Source organism: Homo sapiens, chromosome 9 (genome assembly GCF_000001405.40).
Source record: "Homo sapiens chromosome 9, GRCh38.p14 Primary Assembly".
Lineage (NCBI taxonomy): Eukaryota > Metazoa > Chordata > Mammalia > Primates > Hominidae > Homo > Homo sapiens.
Genome location: NC_000009.12, coordinates 137,692,888 through 137,715,819, shown reverse-complemented (window position 1 = coordinate 137,715,819; position 22,932 = coordinate 137,692,888). Strand labels below are relative to the sequence as shown.

Here is a 22,932-nt window from a genome sequence, read left to right as displayed (position 1 = left end):
TTCAGAAGAGGCTTCACAATAACTAACAGAGAAAATGGGTCAGAAAAAGGGCTTATACTTGGAGCACATCCGTGGTCTGCTCTCCACTCCCTACAGAGGCTCACTCTCCGATGACAACCCCAGGAAATCATATCCAGGGCAGTCAAGGAGACACTATTTTACATCACGAGATTGACACACACACTCAGCTCAGGACAGGCTGAGGCAGGAAGCCTGCGATGGCATCGCTAGGTGCACACGGAGCTCAGTCAAGCCTGAGATGCCACCGCCCAGTGCCCTCCTTCCTGGCTCTGTTCTTCCTGGTGCTTATCACCTCGAGCACAACAGACCTGATCATCTGTCATGCTGGCCGTCTGTCCTTCCACCCGAGGACGTTAAGTCCTATGAGCGCAAATGCCCTGTCTGTTTACCAGTGTACCCTGAGCACATGAACGAGGCCTGGCATCTAATGTGTGTGTTCTGAATAAACAACTATGTTTTAAAAACCCTTAACAAAACAGAGTAAGTGGAAACTTCCTCATACCAAATCCTGCAGCAGATGTATATGTAAATGCTAAATTAATTGCATATAAGATCTATTAACACTACCAGTGTCTGACATAAAAAGGCAGTGCAGGTGACACCAAAGGGAAAGAACAATGTGAGGGTCAAACTGTTCCCACCTGCATCTGACACAATCATTTACTTAAAAACAGACTCAATTAGCAACTAAAACACAAGAGTACAACCAGACTGCTGAATTTGAAATCATGTTACAAAATCAAAGACATTTATTTATATCAACATTACCTAGAAAATGTAAGAAAAAAAAGTATCATTCACAGAAGTAGGGAAAACTACAAAGGGTATTAGGAAATTTGCCAAGATTACTCAAAGCCAATGTGTTGAAAAAAAAGTTAAATAGAAGGCATTTCATGCTCCTAAATGGATGACATTACAAAGCTGTCAAGTCCCCTCAAATTGAATCTATAAGCTGGGTGTGGTGGCTCATGCCTGTAATCCCAGCACTTTGGGAGGCCAAGGAGGCATGATCGCTTGAACCCAGGAGTTCACGACCCACCTGGGCAACATAGTGAGACTCTGTACCAAAAATTAAAAAATTAGCCGGGCATGGAGGTGCACACTTGTAGTCCCAGATACTCAGGAGGCTGTGGCAGGAGGGTCGCTTGAGCCCAGGAGGTCAAGGCTTCAGTGAGCTATGATTGCACCACTGCACTCCAGCCTGGGTGACAGGTCTCATTAAAAAAAAAAAAAAAAAAAAAAATGAGCAAACTGAATCCAGCTCCGCACCCCCCAACAACAAAACAAAATTGGTGAGGAGGATTAAACCATGAACAAGTGGAATTTAACCCCAGAAATGCAAGGTTGGCTTAATAGCTAAAAATGAATTAATATGCCAAATATCAATAGAACAAAATAAAGGACAAAACCACACAAGCATCTCATTAGACAGGAAAAAATGAACACCCCTTCATGGTCAAAACACTTAGCAAATGGTTTGCTAAGAAAAGAAAACTTCCTCAATCTAACATAGGGCATCTATGAAAAACTACAGCTAACATCACACTTAAAGGTGAAACCCGGGAAGCTCTCTCCCTAAGATCAGAAACCAGACAAGGATGTCCAGTCTTGCCACTTCTATTCAACCCTGTACTAGAGATTCGAAGTAGGGCCATAAGGAAGAAACAGAAATAAAAAGAATGCAGATTGGAATGGAAGAAACCAAATGAGCCCTAAAGATGACACAAGCTTTTATGCAGAAATTCCCAAGGAAGTTTAAATCATTAGAACTAATAAACGAGTTTAGCAAGGTTATAGGATATAAGATAAATATGCAAAAATCAATTTTTTTTAACTTTTTTTATTTTTTGAGATGGAGTCTCGCTGTGTCACCCAGGCTGGAGTGCAATGGCATGATCTCTGCCCACTGCAAGCTCTGCCTCCCGGGTTCAAGTGATTCTCCTGCCTCAGCCTCATGAGTAGCTGGGATTATAGGTGCGAGCCACCACATCCCGCTAATTTTTGTATTTTTAGTAGAGATGGGGTTTCACCACGTTGGCCAGGCTGCTCTTGAACTCCTGACCTCAAGTGATCTGCCCACCTTGGCCTCCCAAAGTGCTGGGATTACAGGCATGAGCCAGTGTGCCCAGCCAATCACTTGTATTTCTATACAGTATCAATGATCAAAATGAAAAAGAATTTTTAAAACAATTCTATTTAAAATAGCATCAAAAAATATAATACTTAGGGGCCAGGCACAGTGGTTCACGCCTGTAATCCCAGCACTTTGGGAGGCCAAGGCGGGTGGATCATGAGGTCAGGAGATGGAGACCATCCTGGCTAAGATGGTGAAACCCCGTCTCTACTAAAAATACAAAAAAAATTAGCCGGGCATGGTGGCAGGTGCCTGTATTCCCAGCTACTCGTGAGGCTGAGGCAGAAGAATGGCGTGAACCCGGGAAGCGGAGCTTGCAGTGAGCCGAGATCGTGCCACTGCACTCCAGCCCGGGTGACAGAGCAAGACTCCATCTCAAAAAAAAAAAAAAAAAAAAAAAATTAGCATGGTGTGGTGGCTCACACCTGTGGTCCCAGCTACTTGGGAGGCTGAGGTGGTAGGATTGCCTGAGCCCAGGGAGATGGAGGCTAGAGTAAGCCATGATCACACTCCAGCCTGGATTACAGAGGGAGACCCTGTCTAAAGAAAAGAAAATCTTACAATAAACCCTCACATTTAAAGCCAACTGATTTTCAACGAGGGTGCAAGAACAATTCAATGAGGGAAGAAAGGTCTTTTTCATAAATGTTGCTGGGACAACTGATTATCAACTTGCAAAATAATAAACTGGGACCCCTACTTCAAACCATATACAAAAATTAACTCAAAATTGATCGAAAACCTAAATAAAAGAGATAAAACTATAAAACTCCAAGAAAAAATAAATGTAAATGTTTGTGACCTTCTATTAAGTAATGGTAAGTTCTTAGGTTTTAGACCAAAAGCACCAGCAACTAAAAGGAGGAAAAAAACAGGTAAGTCGGACTTCATCAAAATTGAAAACATTTATACTTCAAAGGACACCATCAAGAAAGGGGAAAGACAAGCCACAGACCGGAAGAAAATATTTGCAAATCCCATGGCTGATAAGGGACTTCTGCTTATATAAAGAACACTGAAAACTCAACAATAAAAATCAATCCAATTTGAAATCACAGGAGAAGAGATATTTCTCCAAAGAAGCTCTAAAGATGGCCAGTAAGCACACGAAATGATGCTCAACATCACTGGCCGTCAGGAAAATGCAAACCAAAACCACAATGAGATGCCACTTCCCACCCGCCAGGACAGCCACAGACACTAAGAAATGGTGGCGAGGACGTGGAGAACCTGGAGCCCTCTGCAACTGCTGCAGGGAAAGCAAGATGGGGCAGCCACCGTGGGGGTCCAGCAGTTCCCCCAGGGTGGAGAGGCCGTGGCTCAGCGGCAGTGTGTAAGGGAACAGGGCACAGGCAAAGCCTAAAGCGTAATGGAATAACCTGGGGCTTGTGGCATCTGGTGTCACGTAGGAAACAAGTTCCACTAGGAAGGTCAAAGGAGGGGTGACCAGGGAGAGAAGGGGGAAGAGCCGGAGGGCACTGGAGCCAACAGAAGAAACAGTTCAAAGACACAGAAAGGACGGCAACAGGAAGGGGCCAAAGTACAGGAAGAAAACACCCAGTCAGGCTGCAGGAGGTGGATGGCGCAGGAGGTGGGGGCAACCCTGGAGGGCCGGCTAGGGGTAGCGGCAGAGGCGGGCAGCGGTCACCACAGTGCACAGCCAGTGGGTGGACGAGAACCCACAGGCACAGCGAGGCCATCTAGGGTGAAAGGAGAACACGGCAGGGGCCACAGCCCACAGTCCATGAGGAGCCAGGCCTTGCGCGCTGTCTGGAGAGGAGCAGGCTCCAGCTGGGAGAGCCTTAGGCAAGTCCAGTGTCTGAGCTGCTCCCACGGCCGCCACCCTTATGGGTCCAGCCAGAACACCACTCTCCCTTCACTGTGGAGCACAGCACAGCTCGTCTGGCGCCACCTGCCCTCATTTCCTGGGGGCGCTCTTGGTGGTGCAGGCTCTCCAAGAACATCCGAACCCTATGTGTGCGCCACGCCTTACAGAGGGGTGCAGCCCCGCCGACTCCCCTCGCCCCAACTCCCCTCACCCTGCCTCTCTGCAGACACTTGCTTCCACACCACTCCCTCCACCTCCTGGTAACCACTGCTGTTCTCCAAGTGTCTGCCATAAAATTGGAGTCATGCAGCTTGTGGCCCTTTGGGTCTGGCCTCCTTCACTTAACAAACCGTACAAAAGCTTCATCCATGGCGCGGCGTCAGTCATGCTGTGTGCTCTTCTGGGCTGCTGACCGCTGTCCCACTGTGTGGATGTACCACGATCTGTTTATCCAGTTCCTTATCAACTGAGGACACCGGAGTGTCTCCGGTTTTCGGCGACGTGACAATGCTGCTATAAACATTTGTGTGGCCACTCACTTTTAATTTTCTGGGTGTACTTTAAGACAAGGATATACAGGATTTTTGCTTTTCATACTTTGACAAATGTGTTCCTTCTCTGGCAGAGCTTTTGTGTTTGTCTGTGCAACTGTGCTATTTAGGAATGGGATAGATTAGAAACTATACCATAAACCTAGGTGAAGCAAAGAAAGTCAGAAGACGGGGACTAATAAGAGAGGAAGAGCAGCAGGTTTTCTAGTCTGGAGGGAGGCGCTGCTCCTGTCCCTCGGTGCACACCGCCCTCACCTTCTCCCAGCAGCTCGGTTTTCACACAGCAATCCTGCTGAGGCTCCCCCCTCGCCGGAACTGCCTGTTAGAGAGAAACAACAGCCGTCAGCCGGGTTCAGTGGGAGGCCGCTTTTCCAAATGGACATCATTTGGAAAAAGTCAAAAAATCGTAGTTACAACATTCACCATGAGCTGCTGGACAGTCAGATTTACTCCTGCCAGCTGGTTACAGTCGCCTCCAGCAGAAGAACTGGCATTCAGAACACAGTCCAAGGAAACTTCTCCTGTATTTCTATTTTTGAAGACAGTTTCTTAACAATAAGAACGCATTCATGTATCATTTATATAATTAGATATCTGAAATCTTTGGGCTCTGTTACAGGAGTGTTACAATTTATTTCAAAATGCATTCTACTGCTGACAATAATTCATATATTTCAAATGTCCAACCTCCTACAAAAAATTATAGAAATAGATAAATCAAGAAAATTCAATAAGGAACTTAAATCACTAAATCTTTGAGATTAAGCATCTATAGAGGTATGTATTATACAAGGCCTCTTACAATTTTTTTGTTGAGACAGAGTTCACTCTCTCGCCCAGGCTGGAGTACAGTGGCGCGATCTCGGCTCACTGCAACCTCTGCTTCCACAGTTCAAGCGATTCTCAGGCCTCACCCACCTGAGTAGCTGGGACTACAGGTGCACACCACCACACCCAGATGCTTTTTGTGTTTTCAGTAGAGATGGGGGTTTCGCCATGTTGGCCAGGCTGGTCTCAAACTCCTGGCCTCAAGTGATCCGCCCGCCTCAGCCTCCCAAAGTGCTGGGATTAGAGGTGTGAGCCACTGCACTTGGGTGGCACTTGGACAGAATTTTTTTTTTTTTTTTTACACAAAAATCCTTGCCTTCAAGAAGCTTAGAGTCTGGTTGGAGAAGTGAACATAAACACATAAAACACTCCTAGCCAGGCCTCTCCCGACGCAGCAGCAGGACCATGGAGTCCATAAGGAGGCAGCAGGGAGTCTGCAAATGCCCCACCCACAGCTGGGGGCCGGGGAAGAGGGCTGCTGACCACTCTGGGCAGTTGGAGATGCCAGACTGCAAGTGGGAGCTGTCAGGCTGACACCCACACCTGGTGATGTGATACTGGAGAAAGCCCTCTGGTGAGGCCACTGGAAGCTGGAAGTGGGCAGGAAGCCTCCGGGTCAGAGTGATAAAATAGGAACAACTGAGGGAGGCACACTTGGTGCTCCGAGTCCACAACCAGAAGAGGAGAGGCACAGACTTGCCCGAGGTCACTAGGAGCAGCCAGTCAGACAGCTGCAGGAGGCCAGCCACGCACTGATTCCATCTTTAATTGACTATCAACAGGTAAGAAGAGGCTGCAAAAACCCGGGTGTCCAGCGTCTGGATGAGAAAACATGTCAACAATGGGGCCTCTCAACAGAACCCCTCCTCCCCACAAAGCAGACGCCAGGCCAGCCCCTACCTGAGCCCGGATGTGCCTACTGCTTTCCAGGGCTCACATCCATATGGTCTCGCTGCCTTCTGGGCTGACTTGGTAACACCGGACCTAACTGCATCACCCTCCCCAGGAGCTGGTCTTAGCAACTGTGCACAGCCCACCCCACCACGGTAAGGCAGGGGGGCCCAGGTTTCCACCTCCCACCCCCTGATCTCCCACTGCCAAGCCAGGGCCAGCAGCCCAGCTGCTCATGGCCAGCCCTCGAACATGCAGAGCACGCTACCTTTCCTGGTCCATCACAGCTGTACGCCAGCCAGCTCAGCCTGCACCCTTCACACCTACCCCCCAACAGGAGCTCTCCGGGGTCCCTGCAATCCTTCCAGGAGTCCAGGAGGTCAAAACTATTTTCATGGTAATACTAGGACCTCAATTGCCTTTTTCACTGTGCTGATATTTGCACAGACGGTGCCCAAGCGGTGGTGTCAGCCCCTTTGCATCGACCAGGTCAGGACACCGAAGTGTACTCCAGCAACTGAACTCTTGACCAGCAGGCACTTGGGGGGCTCGCCTGAGAGTGCCCTGGATGAGGCAGTGAGATGATGGCCTGTGAGCACAGCTCTCCAGCGTTCCACATCAGAGGAAGGGGGCAGGCAGCAGGCCAGGCACAGTGGCTGCGTGGAACCCGAAGCTTTCCTCACTCACAGAGCATCTTCACTTAAAAGAACAACTGGCAAAATGTATGCCACTCAGACCTGAACATACCACTCAGGCCTGGACATGCCACTCAGACCTGGACATGCCACTCAGGCCTGGACATGCCACTCAGTCAGACCTGGACATCTGGCAGACATTTCCACAGAACAGAGTGAGCCTCAAAGAAAACAACCAGTAGTATTTGTTGCCAATGTTAAAACTCTACCTTTTGAATTTTCGAAACACATGTAAATGTGTATCTGTCCCCATGAGCTTGAAAGTTTCTCCATATTTATGACTTTTCTTATTACATGAGCGGTATCATTAGTGACTATGATTTTTGATACCATATAATAAAATGTGTCAACATGGGGAAGATCTTCCTAACAAGGTGAGCTGACACTCCCCAAATGCCCAGTGCCTAATATTCAAAATCACGCATGGGACAAAGATGCATCCAAGATGGGCTTTAATGTCACAGAGGAAGAAGGTCATTGGCACAGTTTCACCTTGTTGAGTTTTCGTGTCATATCAAAGCAGAATAGCTGCAATTATCTGAAAAGATATCAAAATACTTCCCCCTTGCCAACCACATGTCTATGGGAGACCAGATTTTCTTCAGACAGTATCACCTCAGGCTGGGTGCAGAAGCCAATCTGCAAATCCAGCTGACTCTTCGATTAGCCAGACATGACAGAGATGGACCAACATGGAAAACAATGCCATTCAACTGAGTTTTTTTCATTCAGAAAAAGTACTTTTCACAGAAACTGCTGTATTCCCTAACATGTAAATAAAATGTTACATGTTTACTTTTATTATTTTTTAAAAATGTGATTTTTAACTTTTCAGTTTTCATTTCTTTTACAGTAACTATCATTAGATACAACCCAATAAACAAGAGCCCTCTGGGGTCCTCAATACTTTTAAGAGCAGGGCCTTGAGGCACACCAAAGACACCCTGCCTGCCACGGCACAGCTCTGCCGACAAGGTCTCCTGGCCTGAGATGAGCCGGGGTGGAGCATGGCAGGGCAGACCTTGTGAGGCTGCCGGGGTCTACAGGCATTTTTGGGCACCAGCTGTGCCCCTCACATGCTGTCCCCTCCTGGAGGCACCCGCCAAACCCCACTCCATCTCACAGTCCTCATCACCACCACCAGCCACAAATCCTACCCACGAAATTAAGTTTTGTAATCTTTTGAAAAAATGTTTAAGAATGCTATGTAACACACTACCGAATAATGTCTAGAATCATCCACCATTCTGCTGTGTGTCCAATTCAACTGCACTCAGGAATCCTCTGACAAGCACTGACCAACATGCCAGGCCTCATACCAGTGTTAGGGCCAGAAACACAGCACAGATGCCTCTGCCTGGTCTGTAGCATCCCCAGTGCTCACTTCCATTAAGGGACAGCTGAGGATGGCCCAGGGCAGAGGCGAAAGGAAAAGGGGGCACCGGGGAGGAGGGAGGCCCAGCAGAGGCAGACAGACCAGGCTCTGCAAGGCAGCGGCTCCGCCCTCTCCTCCAGAACCGTGGCCTCTCCTGACTTCCAGGAGGCTCGGGAAGGTTTTCTCCCAGCAAGGGATGCTGCTTCTGTAGCCCAGGGGCTGCTCCTAGGGTGCTGAAGCACCACAGGCTGGCTTCGGAGACCAGCCCCCCCAAGCAGCGCTGCCAAGTCTCCTTATGGCTGACGGACTCTAGGATTTTATGAAACCTCCAGATTAAGGACAAATTAGTTTACAATACAAATGTAAATGATAGGCCAGGCGCGCTGGCTCACGCCTGTAATCTCAGCAGTTTGGGAGGCTAAGGTGAGTGGATCACCTGAGGTCAGGAGTTGGAGACCAGTCTGGCCAACATGGCGAAACCCCGTCTCTACTAAAAATATAAAAATTAGCCGGGAGTGGTGGCACATGCCTGTAATCCCAGCTACTCGGGAGGCTGAGGCAGGAGAATCACTTTAACCTGGGCGGGGGCGGAGGTTGCAGTGAGCTGAGATCACGCTGCTTCACTCCAGCCTGGGCAAAAGAGCAAAACTCCATCTCAAAAAATATATATATATGTATAAAAGATAAATAATGTCTCAATAAAAAGGAGAAGCCAGGCACAGTGGCTCTCGCTTGCAATCCCAGCACTTTGGGAGGCCGAGGCAGGCGGATCACTTGAGGTCAGGAGTTCGAGACCAGTCTGGCCAACATGGCAAAACCCCATCTCCACTAAAAATACAAAAATTAGTTGGGCGTGGTGGCAGGCACCTGTAATCCCAGCTACTCAGGAGGCTGAGGCAGGAGAATATCTTTAACCCAGGAGGCGGAGGTTGCAGTGAGCCGAGATCACGCCACTGCTCTCTAGCCTGGGCAACAGAGCGAGACTCCGTCTCAAAAATAAATAAGGGGAGGAAGGGCTCCTGTTCATAACAGTGACAGAAATGCTGTCTCATCTCAATCATTCAGCCTAGCACATTATTCCTTCTCCTTGATCTAAGCAAAACAAAATGAATTAGTTAAAACAAAATTGTGTTTTATGTATCCTAAATCAAGACCTTTCCACTCACAACATCCACCTAGCTGGAGTGAGCAAACTACTTGGACTCAGACCCCGCACTGCAGAAGCTCTGCCCAGTCCAGGAAGCCTAGCCAAAAAATTCCCAAAAAAATCATCTGCATTTCCCTCAGGAGCCCCAACCTACAACTCCCCGGGATGGTCCAGGACTCGCCAACCCCCAGGCCAGGTCGGCTCTGCATGCCCTGCCCTGCCATGGCCCCGTGTGCCTTGACTGGCAGAGCCTAGCCCCGCCCCTGATGCCCCACCCCTGCTGACGCCCCACCCCCAACCCCCCAACGCACAAGGCAGAGGAGCCCAGGCAGAAGTGAAGGGTCCAGGTCCACTCCAGGAAGAACGGCCTGGGCCTTCCCCACCTCGCAATTTGGAAGTCCAGGAGAGGGAGGCACTGCAACTCACTTTTCAGAGGTAGACAGGAGCCCCAGAGCTGTGGGGAGAGGAGGGGACCGTGGGCCTCTCTTGGTCAGTACAGGTACCAGGGCAGGGCTGGTCCAGACCTCACAGCCCCAAGACTGCCACAGCCCTCTAGGGCCATCCCCCAACCTCACAGCAACAAGAGACTGAGTGCAGTGCCTACTCCAAACCTACCCTGGGAGGACAGCCCTGACTTGGGGCTTCTCGCTCAGTCAGGAAACCCCTCCTCCCCTTCCGCGTGGGTTGCACCTGCTAACCACAGAGCCAGCCTGACCTCTGCGCCCGCACGGCAAAACACATGACCAGTCCATTTCCACCTGAGCAACAGACCTTACATTTTTAGTGCCACAACTTGTGCACAATGTAGAGTACACACCAGGACGGTGGGTAAGAGAACAAAACCAGTGTGTGCAAAGCATGAACACGAAGCATGCACACATTCCAATTCTCACTCAAACACTGGCTTCAGTTCTTGCCACTTAAAAATCACATTATCTCAAGTCCAGAAAAACCCAGCTCCTTGGAAGTTCTTCTTATCCTCAGTACATCTGCCCAAACTCAAGAACACTCAGGAGATTTCATGTCCAACTTTCAAACGCAAGTTAAAGGAATTCCCAGGCCGGTGTAGTGGCTCATGCCTGTGATCCCAGCATTTTGAGAGGTCAAGGAAGGAGGACTGCTTGAGCTCAGGAGTTCAAGACCAGCCTAGACAAAACAGTGAGACCCCCATCTCTACAAACAATTTTTAAAAATTAGCTAGGAGTGGTGGCACACACCTGTAGTCCCAGCTACTTGGGAGGCTGAGGTGGGAGGTTCCCTTGAACCAAGGCTGGTTCAAGGTTTCCTTGAAACAAGGTTGTACCACTGCACTCCAGCCTGGGTGACAGAGGAAGACGCTGTCAAAAGAAGAAAAGAAAATGGAAAAGGAAGAGAGAGAGGGAGGGAGGGGAGGGGAGGGGATAAAGAAGGGAAGGAAGGGAGGAAAGAAAGAAAAGGAAGGAAGGAACAAGGAAAGGAAAGGAGGGAGGGAGGGAAAGAGAGGAACAAAGAAAGGAAAGGGAAGGAAAGGAAAGAAAGAAGGCAGGAAGAAAAGGAGGGAGGGAGGGCGGGAGGGAGGGAAGGCAGGCGGGAGGGAGGGAAGGCAGGAGGAAGGGAAATTCCCTCCCAGAGCCTGGGATTTCCAGGAATTCTGATGCTTCTTTCAAGTAAAGGGCCTTTTAAATACAAAATCCTAAATAAAAAGATAGAAGGATCAAAGTAAAAAGAAGAGAGGATACCAAGCAGCAATAATGAAGATTCTTGCAAACTAAAGGGGAATGGGGTGAAGGACCAAGACAAATGGCCAAGGGATGACCCAAGGACACTCCTCTCGGAACAGAAATACAGAACTCATTTTAGTCCTAAAACTCTATTCTTCTTAAATACCATTAAAAAAACCAAACACTATCTTAAATGTCCATGTTTCTTAAAATTAAAACCAATAGAAAATCCTCAATCTACAACCAGGGCAAGGCCACAAGCCTCCGGTCTTGGTCCTGCTTGTTTATGAGAACAAAGTGGCCCAGTCCTTCCCTCCAAGTCCCGAGCTCAGTGAGCTCCTTCCTCCCACACATTCCCCTACAGGCTGCAGAGCTGAGGTCACATCATAACCTCACTGTTTACAGACACATAGTGATATGGTTTGGCTCTGTGTCCCCACCAAAATCTCATGTTGAACTGTAATCCCGAATATTGGGGGAGGGGCCTGATGGGAGGTAACTGGATCATGGGGGCAGATGTCCCCCTTGCTGTTTTCGTGATATATCTCACAAGATCTGGTTGTTGGAAAGTGTGTGGCACTTCCCCCTTTGCTCTCTCTTCATCCTTATGGCCAGGTAAGATGTGCTCGCTTCCCCTTTGCCCTCCCGCCATGATTGCTAAGTTTCCTGAGGCCTCCCTAGAAGCAGAAGCCTCTACAGCCCACAGAACCATGAGCTGATCAAACCTCTTTTCTTTATAAATTACCCAGAATTAGGTATATCTTTATAGCAGTGTGAGAACAGACTAATACAGAAAATTGGTACTGGAGAAGTAGGGCATTGCTATAAAGATACCTGAAAATGTGGAAGCAGCTTTGGAAATGGGTAATGGGCCGAAGTTTGAACAGGTTAAAGGGCTAGGAAGAAGAAAGGAAGATGAACTTCCTAGAGGCTTTTTGAATGGTTTTGACCAAAATGCTGACAGTGATATGGACAATGAAGTCCAAGCTGAGGAGGTCTCAGATGGAGATGAGGAACCTATTGGGAATTGGAGTAAAAGTCACTCTTGCTATGCTTTAGCAAAGAGACAGGCGGCACTGTGTCCCTGCTCTAAGGATCTGTGGAACTTTGAACTTGAGAGAGATGATTTAGGGTATGTGGTGGAAGAAATTCCTAAGTAGCAAAGCAGTCAAGATGTGGCCTGGCTGCTTCTAACAGCATACACTCACATGCGTGCACGAAGAGAGTATCTGAAACTGGAACTTATATTTAAAAGGGAAGCAGAGCATAAAAGTTTGGAAATTTTGCAGCCTGACCATGTGGTAGGAAAAAAAGCACATTTTTCAGGGAAGGGGTTCAAGCCAGCTACAGAAATTTGCATGAGGAGCTGAATGTTAATAGCCAAGACAATGGGGAAAATGCCTCAGAGACCTTTGCAGCAGCCCCTCCCATCACAGGCCTGGAGGCCTAGGAAGGAAGAATGGTTTTGTGGGCCAGACCCAGGGCCTTGCTGCTCTGTGCAACCTCAGTACATGGTGTCCGGCATCACAGCCACTCCAGCTCCAGTGGTGGCTGAAACGGCCCCAGATACATCTCAGGACACTGACCCAAAGGGTGCAAGCTGGCAGCTACCAAGGCTTCTACATGGTGTTAACCCAGCAGGTGCACACAGGGCAAGAGTTAAGGCTTGGGAGCCTCCACCTAGATTTCACAGGATGTATGGATATCATCCATACATCTGTGGTGGCGCATGCCTGTAATCCCAGCTACTCAGGAAGCTGAGGCAGGAGAATTGCTTGAATTCAGAGGATGCTGGATGTGGAGGCCAAGTATATGGAAATGTCCAGATGTCCAGACAGAAGCTTCCTGCAGGGGCGAAGCCCCCACGGAGAGCCTCTACTAGGGCAGTGTGGATGGGAAATGTGGGACTGGAGCCCCACATAGAGTCTCCACTGGGGCACTGCCTAGTGGAGCTGTGAGAAGAGGACCACTACCCTCCAGACCCCAGAATGGTAGATCCATCTACGGCTTGTACCACACGCCTAGAAAAGCAGCAGGCACTCAACGCCAGCCCATGAAAGCAGCTGCAGGAGCTGTACCCTGAAGAGCCACAGAGGCAGAGCTGCCCAAGGCCTTGGGAGCCCACCCCTTCCACCAGTGTGGCCTGGAAGTGAGACATGGAGTCAAAGAAGATTATTGTGGAACTCAGACTGCCCTGCTGGGTTTCAGACTTACATGGAGCCTGTAGCCCCTTTGTTTTGGTCAATTTTTCCCTTTTGGAACAGAAGCATTTACCCAATGCCTGTATTACTATTGTTTCTTGGAAGTAAGCTTTTTATTTTACAGGCTGATAGGCAGAAGGGACTTACCTTGTCTCAGATAAGACTTTGGACTTTTGAGTTAATGCTGGAATGAGTTAAGACTTTGGGAAATTGCTGGAAGGCATATTTGTGTTTTGAAATGTGAGAAGGACCCAGCACTTTGGGAGGCCGAGGTGGGTGGATCATGAGGTCAGGAGTTTGAGACCAGCCTGACCAACATGGTGAAACCCTGTCTCTATTAAAAATACAAAAATTAGGCTGGGCGCAGTGGCTCACATCTGTAATCTCAGCACTTTGGGAGGCTGAGGCGAGTAGATCACCTGAGGTCAGAAGTTCGAGACGAGCCTGGCCAACATGGTGAAACCCCGTTTCTACTAAAAATACAAAAATTAAATGGACATGGTGGCGGGCACCTGTAATCCCAGCTACTTGAGAGGCTCAGGCAGGAGAATCACTTGAACCCAGGAGGCAGAGGTTGCAGTGAGCTGAGATCGCACCATTGCACTCCAGCCTGGGCGACAAAAGCAAAACTCCGTCTCAAAAAAAAAAAAAAATTTAACCAGGCATGGTGGCGCGTGCCTGTAATCCCAGCTATTCAGGAGGCTGAGGCAGGAGAATTCCTTGAACCTGGGAGGTGGAGGTTGCAGTGAGCTGAGATCACACCATTGCACTCCAGCCTGGGCAACAAGAGCAAAACTCCATCTCAAAAAAAAAAAAAAAAAAATTAGCCAGGCATGGTGGCGCCCACCTGTAATCCCAGCTACTCAAGAGGCTGAGGCAGGAGAATTGCTCAAACCCGGGAGGCAGAGGTTGCAGTGAGCCAAGATCACACCATTGCACTCCAGCCTGGGCGACAAGAGCAAAACTGCACGTCAAAATAAAATAAAATAAAATAAAAATTAGCCAGGTGTGGTGGCACATGCCTGCAATCCCAGCTACTCAGGAAGCTGAGGCAGGAGAATCACTAGAGCCTGGGGGACAGAGGTTGCAGTGAGCTGAGATCGCATCATTGCACTCCAGCCTAGGTGACAGAGTGAGACTCTGTCTCAAAAAAAAACAAGAGAAAAAAAAAAAAGAAATGTGAAAAGGACATGAGATTTAGGAGGGATCAGGGGCAAAATGATATGGTTTGCTCTGTGTCCCCACCCAAATCTCATGTTTAACTGTAATCCTCAATGTTGGGGGAGGGACCTGGTAGGAGCTGACTGGATCATGGGGGCGGACGTTCCCCTTGCTGTTCTCATGATAATGAGTGAGTTCTCATGAGACCTGGTTGTTGGAAAGTGTGCAGCACTTTCCCCTTCATGCTTTCTCTCTCCTGCCAGCCATGTGAAAATATGCCTGCTTCTCCTAGGCCTTCCGCCATGATTTTAAGTTGCTTGAGGCTTCCCCAGAAGCAGAAACCTATACAGCCTGCCCACAGAACCATGAACCGATTAAACCTCTTTTCCTTATAAATTACCCAGCCTCAGGTATGTCTTTATAGCAGTGTGAGAACGAGCCAATACACCCAGAAACCTGGCATTTTTTATAGTAAAACAAGAGCTACAATTTGTAAAGCCAGAATTGATCACAGGAACAGTTCCTTCACTGACCTATCCAGATTCTCATCAATGTCACAGCCTATAATAAAACCTCAATTAGAACAGTACCTAAGCATCAAGGGCTGAATGCTATGGTAGGGAGGGTGGGGTGGCATGGCAGGGGTGCAAAATCTACCCAATCCATGATCAAAATGGGTCACAACAGCAACAAATCAAACCTTTTGAGAAAGGAGAACAGCGGACTAATGAGGCCCACCTCAGCACACATTTGACGTGCTTGAGCTGGACTCCACCATCCTTCTAGAAAACAACATTGTCTTCTTCCGAATGCCCACTTTAATATATTGTCTAAGGCACTGATGTGGCTGGAGAAAAAAGGATTATTTCCCACTTCGTGAAGTTTTTTCCTTAAATGTTAATTGGTGGGTTCAGATAGACACAAAAACTTAAGGGGAAAAAAGTTCCCCAGATAGTGAAGTAGAACTCAGACCCCATGCTGCACGTGGAGGCCAAGTACACAAGCAGCTCCCGGGGAGGTGGGCACTACAGGCTGTCATGACATGAGACACCCAGTTACATTCACAGCTCAGAAAATATCCAAAAGGGATAGAGGGATAGGAGAAATACTCACATGTCAAGTCCATAAAATAAATGTATTTTATAGGTAAATACTGGTGTGTAGCTATATTCATGCCAGTGACCTCACAAATTCTCTTTAGCAACACAGGACAGAAGACAGTAACCTCTTTATTCCACATGATGATATACATTTACGTAACTGAAATGTTCTTCATGATTAAAATAAAAAGCTTCAAGTTTTTACAACACTACCACTTTATTTGTATGTCTCTTCCTCTAAATGTAATCATAAAATAAGCATGCAATAATCACAACTTAACATAATCTGTAGGAAAAACAAAGGCAGCATATACATATTTGCTTGTTCATTCATTTTTAGAAACAGGGTCTTGTTCTGTCACCCAGGCTGGAGTGCAGTGGTGCAACCACAGCTCACTGCAACCTCCAACTCCTGGGCTCAAGAGATCCTCCCACTTAGGCCTTCCATAGGTGGGACTACAGGCATGTACCACTGTGCCAGGCCAACATCTTTTTCTCTTTTTTTTTTTTTTTGAGACAGAGTCTTGCTCTGTCACCCAGGCTGGAATGCAGTGGCGCAATCTCGACTCACTATAACCTCCGCCTCCTGGGCTCAAGCGATTCTCTTGCCTCAGCCTCCCAAGTAGCTGGGATTATAGGCGCATGGCAATTAGAGCCTGGCTAATTTTTGTATTTTTAGTAGAGACGGGGTTTCATCACATTAGCCAGACTGGTCTCAAACTCCTGACCTCGAGTGATCTGCCCACTTCGGCCTCCCAAAGTGCTGGGATTACAGGTGTGAGCCACCATGCCTGGCCCAACATTTTTAACTGAATTAATTTCCTTCTTGTGGCTGACAGGACAACATTATTTTTCATCTACAAATAGACACCTCTCCATTGTCATTTAATACGAAATGACCATGCATCCAATATAATGTGTCATAACAGTTAACCTTAACTTTACTACATTAGATGTTAGATGCTTTTTTAAAAGACAATTTCTATTATACCTACAGTATAAATTATTAAACTTTTGTGAAGAGCTCAGCATCACCTTTCCAGAGAAGACGGCAGCGCGCCTTCAGGGTTCAAATGCCTGCTCCTGTGGAGCCTCCTCAGCCGCACCTGCACCAGCAGCCCACCTAAGAGATGAGGCACCATCCCCCACAGGCGAAGAATAGGGCACACCCTGCACCCTGCAGGTGAGGTTCCCAGTGCGTGGCCTCCTGCCCCATCAATTTCTACCAAACTACTGACTTTTTTTTTTTTAAATAAACAATGTATAGTGGGGGAAAGATCATAGAAACTGAGACACTGCCCTTTATAAGATTCCTAAAATTCAAAGACAAATAAGGACTAGACATATTTTGGATAATCTCTGTTAAAATTATTCAAAGACAAGCCCATAAAAATATTTAAATAATTTTATAAATTTAAATTTTAAAGAGATAGGAAAAAGAACCAATGGAACTGTGTTGACTGCGACACTGGCCACTGGTATGTCATGAAGAAAAGACTCAATGGTTTCATGGCTGCTGGTAAACCTAGGCCCTGCCTGACCCTGAAACAGACTGAGGGTGCACCTAAGGTTCCAGGCTGGCAGGAAGGACCCCTGCCCATCTGCATCTGGGCCCTGGGGATAGCCAGCCACCTCCCTGCCCACTCTACCTTTGAACAACCTGGCAACCTGCTCACTAGCTTTAAAAATCCTTTCAGCGATACCTGGTGTTAGGCAGCTTCAATGGTCTTCCAGAGACTTTCTCACCCACTAAAGAGATGACACCTGATCCTTCATGTTTATCAAAGACAGAGCAAACAATGGCATTTTACAATCCGCCCAGTCAATACCACCATGAGGTGAAGATTAATAAGGTAGTTTACCATGTCTACAATAATACATCTACATCACAGTTACCTCAGAAGTGATCATTTCTTTTCCTAGTCAAAGTGTGGAGTTTCCACGGCAATCCCTGCTTTTCTACAACATGCTGGATAAGACAAAATGCGTCCACGTTTTGTCAACAAACCAGTAATAATGATCCTCCTCAGCGCTTGTGACAGTGGCCTCCGTTTCCACACTGTGTCTCTGCATGCTACCAGGAGGCTGGAGTGAAAGCCAGGGAGTGAGGCCTCCGCGAGCCACGCCGCCCTCACACGCTGCCCTCACGACAGTGGGGATTGAGGCCTCCGCGAGCCACACCGCCCTCACACGCTGCCCTCACAACAGTGGGGAGTGAGGCCTCCGCGAGCCACGCCGCCCTCACACGCTGCCCTCACAACAGTGCCATCCTCCCTTTGGACCAGAATATGCAATCACATTTTACTCAAAAAGTCAAACTACAAAAAAGGAGCTGTATGGATAGAATCATCTGAACGGAAAACTTAACGGGGAGAAAATATAATCATCTTATCTCAGGGTTCTTTTGCTCATTTTTCCAGAAAGCTTTGTTCTTTTCTTAGACTAAACAAATTACTGAAGACTTCTTGTAATTTGGCTTTATTTTACAAGGATGCAAGAATAAAAACTACTTTGGAAATGAATATTCTATCAACATATTCACTCTAACTTACCAAATATAATGTAAATGATCCAAAGGAAAAATTTCTAATCTCAACAGTAAGATTTTAACCACAAAAAGTGTCCTTCTACATGAGGCTAAAAGAAAAATCTTTAAAGTTACCAGAAATTTAAAACCGCTTCAAAAAAATCTTCAAACAGTATGCTAGGTAAACTGTATGACCCTGTGTGCAGTGAGCACAAGGCCAGGCCGGCCGATCCCAGTGGGCAGAGCAGGATCTCCCTCAGGGCAAATGAGCTCCAGGAGTGCCTGCCCTGGAACCAGAGACCCCCACAGAAACATGGAGGTCAAGTGCTAAAACAATCAGGCACATGGATCTCAAACTCTGCACTGGTTGTTTGTTTGTTTTGAAACAGACAAACTCTGTCATCCAGGCTGGCGTGCAGTGGCACCATCTCGGCTCACTACAACCTCTGCCTCCCAGGTTCACATGATTCTCCTGCCTCAGCCTCCCAAGTAGCTGGGATTACAAGTGCATGCCAACATGCCCAGCTAATTTTTGCACTTTTAGTAGAGACAGGGTTTTACCACATTGGCCGGGCTGGTCTCTAACTCCTGACCTCAAGCGATCCGCCCGCCTCAGCCTCCCAGAGTGCTGGGATCACAGGTGTGAGTCCCCACACCCAGTCTCTGCACTGTTTTCACAGGGCCAGCTCTGTGGTCTGCTCTGGGGTCCTGTGCCTCTGGGTCAGAAGTACCAGAAGGCACAACTACAAGTGAGAAGCACACAAGCTCAGGAGGAAAGGAAGGAAGACGCAGGCATGCTCCCCTGGAACTGATCTGGTATTCTTCCCAGCATGGCCTCTACACACTTCCACCTTGCCATTTGTGTTTTGGGAGGGGTGTGTCAACTTTCACATATTACCTACCCGAGCTTTGAAGATACCCCCATGACGGCAAGACATGAAGAAAATGGAAGGAAAAACCCTTGTGCGGTCTCTTTAAACTTATCTTCGTGATTCTACAGTTGAACTTGATGTTTGCCTTTCACAACCTGGGGGAGACTATTAGAAGGAAGGTCCTTCTCCCCCTCAAGAAAATACATTGGTCCACTGGACTATCCTACACGCTATCAACATTTAAAAACGTCATTTCACAACAACCAACACAAAAGACTGCCTTCTCTACCTAACAGTGGAGATTTTTCTTTATTCTAGTCAAAATAAGAAAAATGTCACATTCCAATCTGCCATTTGCTCCCTTCTGCTTTAGGAAAGCCCAGGATCTGGAAGAGAGACTTGTCTTCTCCTTGGGAACTGTAACAGCAGCAAGAAGGAACTTTAAATGCCAAACGGCTTCTCCAAGATGGGAAGCAACTTCGGTCCAGGAAACTCGTGAGATGAAGAGCACTCTCTACCCGCCCCCTAATTTTAAACCATTTTCCACATACCAATTTCACCAGCTAATTATCGAAAGGGGTGGAGAGAAAAAGAATGAATCCTTTCAATATCTGAGAGATTTTCTTTTCCCTCTTTTGTCTTTTTGTTTTTTCCCTTGGCAGAAAAAGGAGAGTTGGTTCCTAAATTTGGAAAAAAACAATTAATATCCAAAGTAGCCCCAGAAATTACATTTAAGGGATTTTAAAATATCAGGACAGATTCCCTTTCCATCTGCTGCTTAACCCTTGATTGAGCCTCTCTGCAAAGAAAGACAATCAAAGGTGGCCCCGTCCCTACTACTGCCTTTGTCCAGTTCTTTCGGCTATGGCATTTGTCCAAAGATGGCAAAACCAGTGCAAATATCTGCCAGTCCCTCATGTGCCTCCAGCAGTACTCTGAGACTCCACCATCGAGAGGTGGGTCGGTATCCCCCTCCTTTGCCTGGGTGGACCTGAAGTATGTGGCTGAAGTGGCAGCCCATGACACAGACGGCGGCCTCAACCCAGCTCTGCCTTGCTAGCTTGCTCTGTGCTGCCTAGCCACTGTGTGTGAGGGGCCCACGCCACCCGGGAGGCCACACATGGGTGCCCTAGCCAAGAACCCACTAACTAGCACTGGCCACCAGATGTGGAAGGACGCAGCCCACACTAACACCACCCCCATGTTCGAGTCTTCCAGCTGAGACTCATTGACCAAAATAAAGTCATCTCCTCTGTGCCGTCTGAATTCCTGTCCCCTCAAAGGGATAACAAATGATGATTGTTGTTTCAGCCACCGAGTTTCAGGGCAGTGCAGTCCCTGGCGGGAGACAAGGAAAGCAATGCTCTTTGTCCTGACCTTCTTCCCCTCGCCAGCAGGGGTCAGAGCAAACCCCAGCTCCAGGGCTCCGTCCATGCTCCCAGCACAGGCCCGACACACAGATCTCACAGCAATCCAAGCTCTGGGGCTCACCTGCCACCAAGGCCTAGGCTCAACGGCTGTAGTCTGTACCCTCAGGGAACTGGACCAACAGAGAAGATCAGCAAACCAGGAACGTGAGCAGTCTAAGTGCTCCTTACAGAAGAAACACGTGCCGAGGGGAGGCACACAGGGCCGGGCGGCCGGTAATCCAGGTGCCCAGGGTGTGAGCACCTGCCTGCAAAAACCCCAAAAACTCCAAATTCCCATCAGCCAAAACCTGTCTGTTTAGAGTCTTTCAGGTCCAAAACCAAAAAGTAGCCATGACCAGAACGGGTGCCTTGACATAACTGGTGAGTGTGAGGTCAGAGGGTATGTGCTCTAAGGGCAGTCAAGCTGGAAACGGCTACTTGCCGTTCTTACCGCCACTAATATGCTGATGCTCTAGTTTATCTACCATCTCCTTCAAGACCGAGAGTACAATTCTGACAATCTGGTTTACCTGCAACATCAAATTCCTGGGCCTGCCGAGCTGATGGCCTGCCTTCCAGGAGATTCGCCGGGTCAAGGGCACCCCGAGGCCTCGCGCCTGATCACCTGCTCGCCAGCCTCCTGCTAACAGCTCCTGCCTGTGTGCTAGGCGCGTCTCCACCATGGTTGGGCTGCTGACTGGCACATGGCTCAGAGCACAGCCCTGTGGAGACTTACAGCCTCTACCCGCCCAAGTGAAACTGGAAAACATCTACTCCTTCCCTGAGTTTAATATGGAGCAAATTAAGATGAAAATTCATGGAACCTATCAGAAACCACAAGGTTGCTGACCAACAAGACTGCCGACCAACGAGACTGCCTCACAGGCAGGAAGAAGGGCACGGAGCCGGCCTCAGCTGTGCGCCTCCTCCAGTCCCAGCGTCCTGCGCCACCGCATGGTGGGTATCGGCCAGTGTCCTGTGCCACTGTGTGGGGGGTATCGGCCAGAGTCCAGCACCATCGCCTGGTGGGTATCGGCCAGCGTCCTGCGCCACTGTGTGGGGGGTATCGGTTAGCGTCCTGCGCCACTGTGTGGGGGTATCGGCCAGCGTCCTGCGCCACTGTGTGGGGGTATCGGCCAGCGTCCTGTGCCACTGTGTGGGGGGTATCGGCCAGCGTCCAGCACCATTGCCTGGTGGGTATCGGCCAGCGTCCTGCGCCCCTGTGTGGGGGTATCGGCCAGCGTCCTGCGCCACTGTGTGGGGGTATCGGCCAGCGTCCTGAGCCACTGTGTGGGGGGTATCGGCCAGCGTCCTGAGCCACTGTGTGGGGGGTATCGGCCAGCGTCCAGCACCATCGCCTGGTGGGTATTGGCCAGCGTCCTGCGCCACTGTGTGGGGGGTATCGGCCAGCGTCCTGCGCCACTGTGTGGGGGGTATCGGCCAGCGTCCTGAGCCACTGTGTGGGGGGTATCGGCCAGCGTCCTGAGCCACTGTGTGGGGGGTATCGGCCAGCGTCCTGAGCCACTGTGTGGGGGGTATCGGCCAGCGTCCTGAGCCACTGTGTGGGGGGTATCGGCCAGCGTCCTGCGCCACTGTGTGGGGGGTATCGGCCAGCGTCCTGCGCCACTGTGTGGGGGGTATCGGCCAGCGTCCTGAGCCACTGTGTGGGGGGTATCGGCCAGCGTCCTGAGCCACTGTGTGGGGGGTATCGGCCAGCGTCCTGCGCCACTGTGTGGGGGGTATCGGCCAGCGTCCTGAGCCACTGTGTGGGGGGTATCGGCCAGCGTCCTGTGCCACTGTGTGGGGGGTATCGGCCAGCGTCCTGCACCACTGCGTGGTGGGTAAGTGACAGGCAAAGCTTGATAGACTGGCTAGATTCGAATCCCAGCTCTGTCATTAATGAGATGCGTAACCTTGGTTTCTTAACCTCTCTGTGCCCGTTTCCTCTGCAGTAAAATGGGAACAACTAACTACAAAACCAGTTCAGCAGGCTATGCGGGGGCTGCAGGACTCAGGACTGTGGGTGATGCCTAAGTTCTGAATTGATTATCAGCTCTAATATTATTCAATATATTTAATAAATATAAAATTAAAGTGTTTAGTATCTGCCACATGGAAGACATCAGTCACTGCTTGTTAGATACCCGCTAACTTGAACTGTTCAAAAACAAGTCCAGTCCCCTTAGCCCGGCCTCACTGTGCGTCTCCAACTCCACGCTGTGGCTCCGGCCCTCAGCCCATCTCCCCTACGAGTTTAACAATTAACCTGCTCTTTCCATCCACCCACTACACTTTTCCTTTCTAAAAAGTCTTATTATTGCCATGCTGAAAACCTCTGCTGTGCCCATTCGCCAAAGGGTCCAAAGCCCCCAGGTGAGGCAGGCAGAGGTGCCGTCCAGCCGATTCCAAGGACAACCCTTGTGGCCACATCCACCCCGGACTCTCAGGCTTCTGATTGTCCCTTTTTTCCAAAAGACACCCTACCACTGCCC

At 48.9% G+C, this 22,932-nt stretch overlaps 1 protein-coding gene across 31 annotated transcripts in view, besides 3 other annotated features; it reads right to left on the bottom strand.

Annotated features, from left to right (window-relative positions):
* Positions 1-22,932, bottom strand: part of EHMT1 (euchromatic histone lysine methyltransferase 1) — a 217,123-nt gene that overhangs the window by 120,308 nt on the left and 73,883 nt on the right. For 17 of the 31 annotated variants that reach the window (XM_047423872.1, XM_047423875.1, NM_024757.5 and 14 more), the window contains one exon: positions 4,790-4,853. The exons of the other annotated variants lie outside the window; for them this stretch is intronic. In XM_047423872.1, the coding sequence (XP_047279828.1) occupies positions 4,790-4,853 (64 nt within the window). The remainder of the gene's footprint in view (positions 1-4,789; positions 4,854-22,932) is intronic. 31 annotated transcript variants of the gene reach the window in all.
* Positions 142-201: a silencer, noted in NCBI's record as "silent region_20637". NCBI's record gives its function as "represses an Ori minimal core promoter by ATAC-STARR-seq in GM12878 lymphoblastoid cells {active_cell/tissue: GM12878}" and the evidence as "EXISTENCE:reporter gene assay evidence [ECO:0000049][PMID:35858748]".
* Positions 6,362-7,323: an enhancer, noted in NCBI's record as "H3K4me1 hESC enhancer chr9:140602949-140603910 (GRCh37/hg19 assembly coordinates)". NCBI's record gives its function as "activates a minimal SCP1, AML or CMV promoter by ChIP-STARR-seq in naive H9 embryonic stem cells {active_cell/tissue: H9 hESC(naive)}" and the evidence as "EXISTENCE:reporter gene assay evidence [ECO:0000049][PMID:30033119]".
* Positions 19,603-20,287: an enhancer, noted in NCBI's record as "H3K27ac-H3K4me1 hESC enhancer chr9:140589985-140590669 (GRCh37/hg19 assembly coordinates)". NCBI's record gives its function as "activates a minimal SCP1, AML or CMV promoter by ChIP-STARR-seq in naive H9 embryonic stem cells {active_cell/tissue: H9 hESC(naive)}" and the evidence as "EXISTENCE:reporter gene assay evidence [ECO:0000049][PMID:30033119]".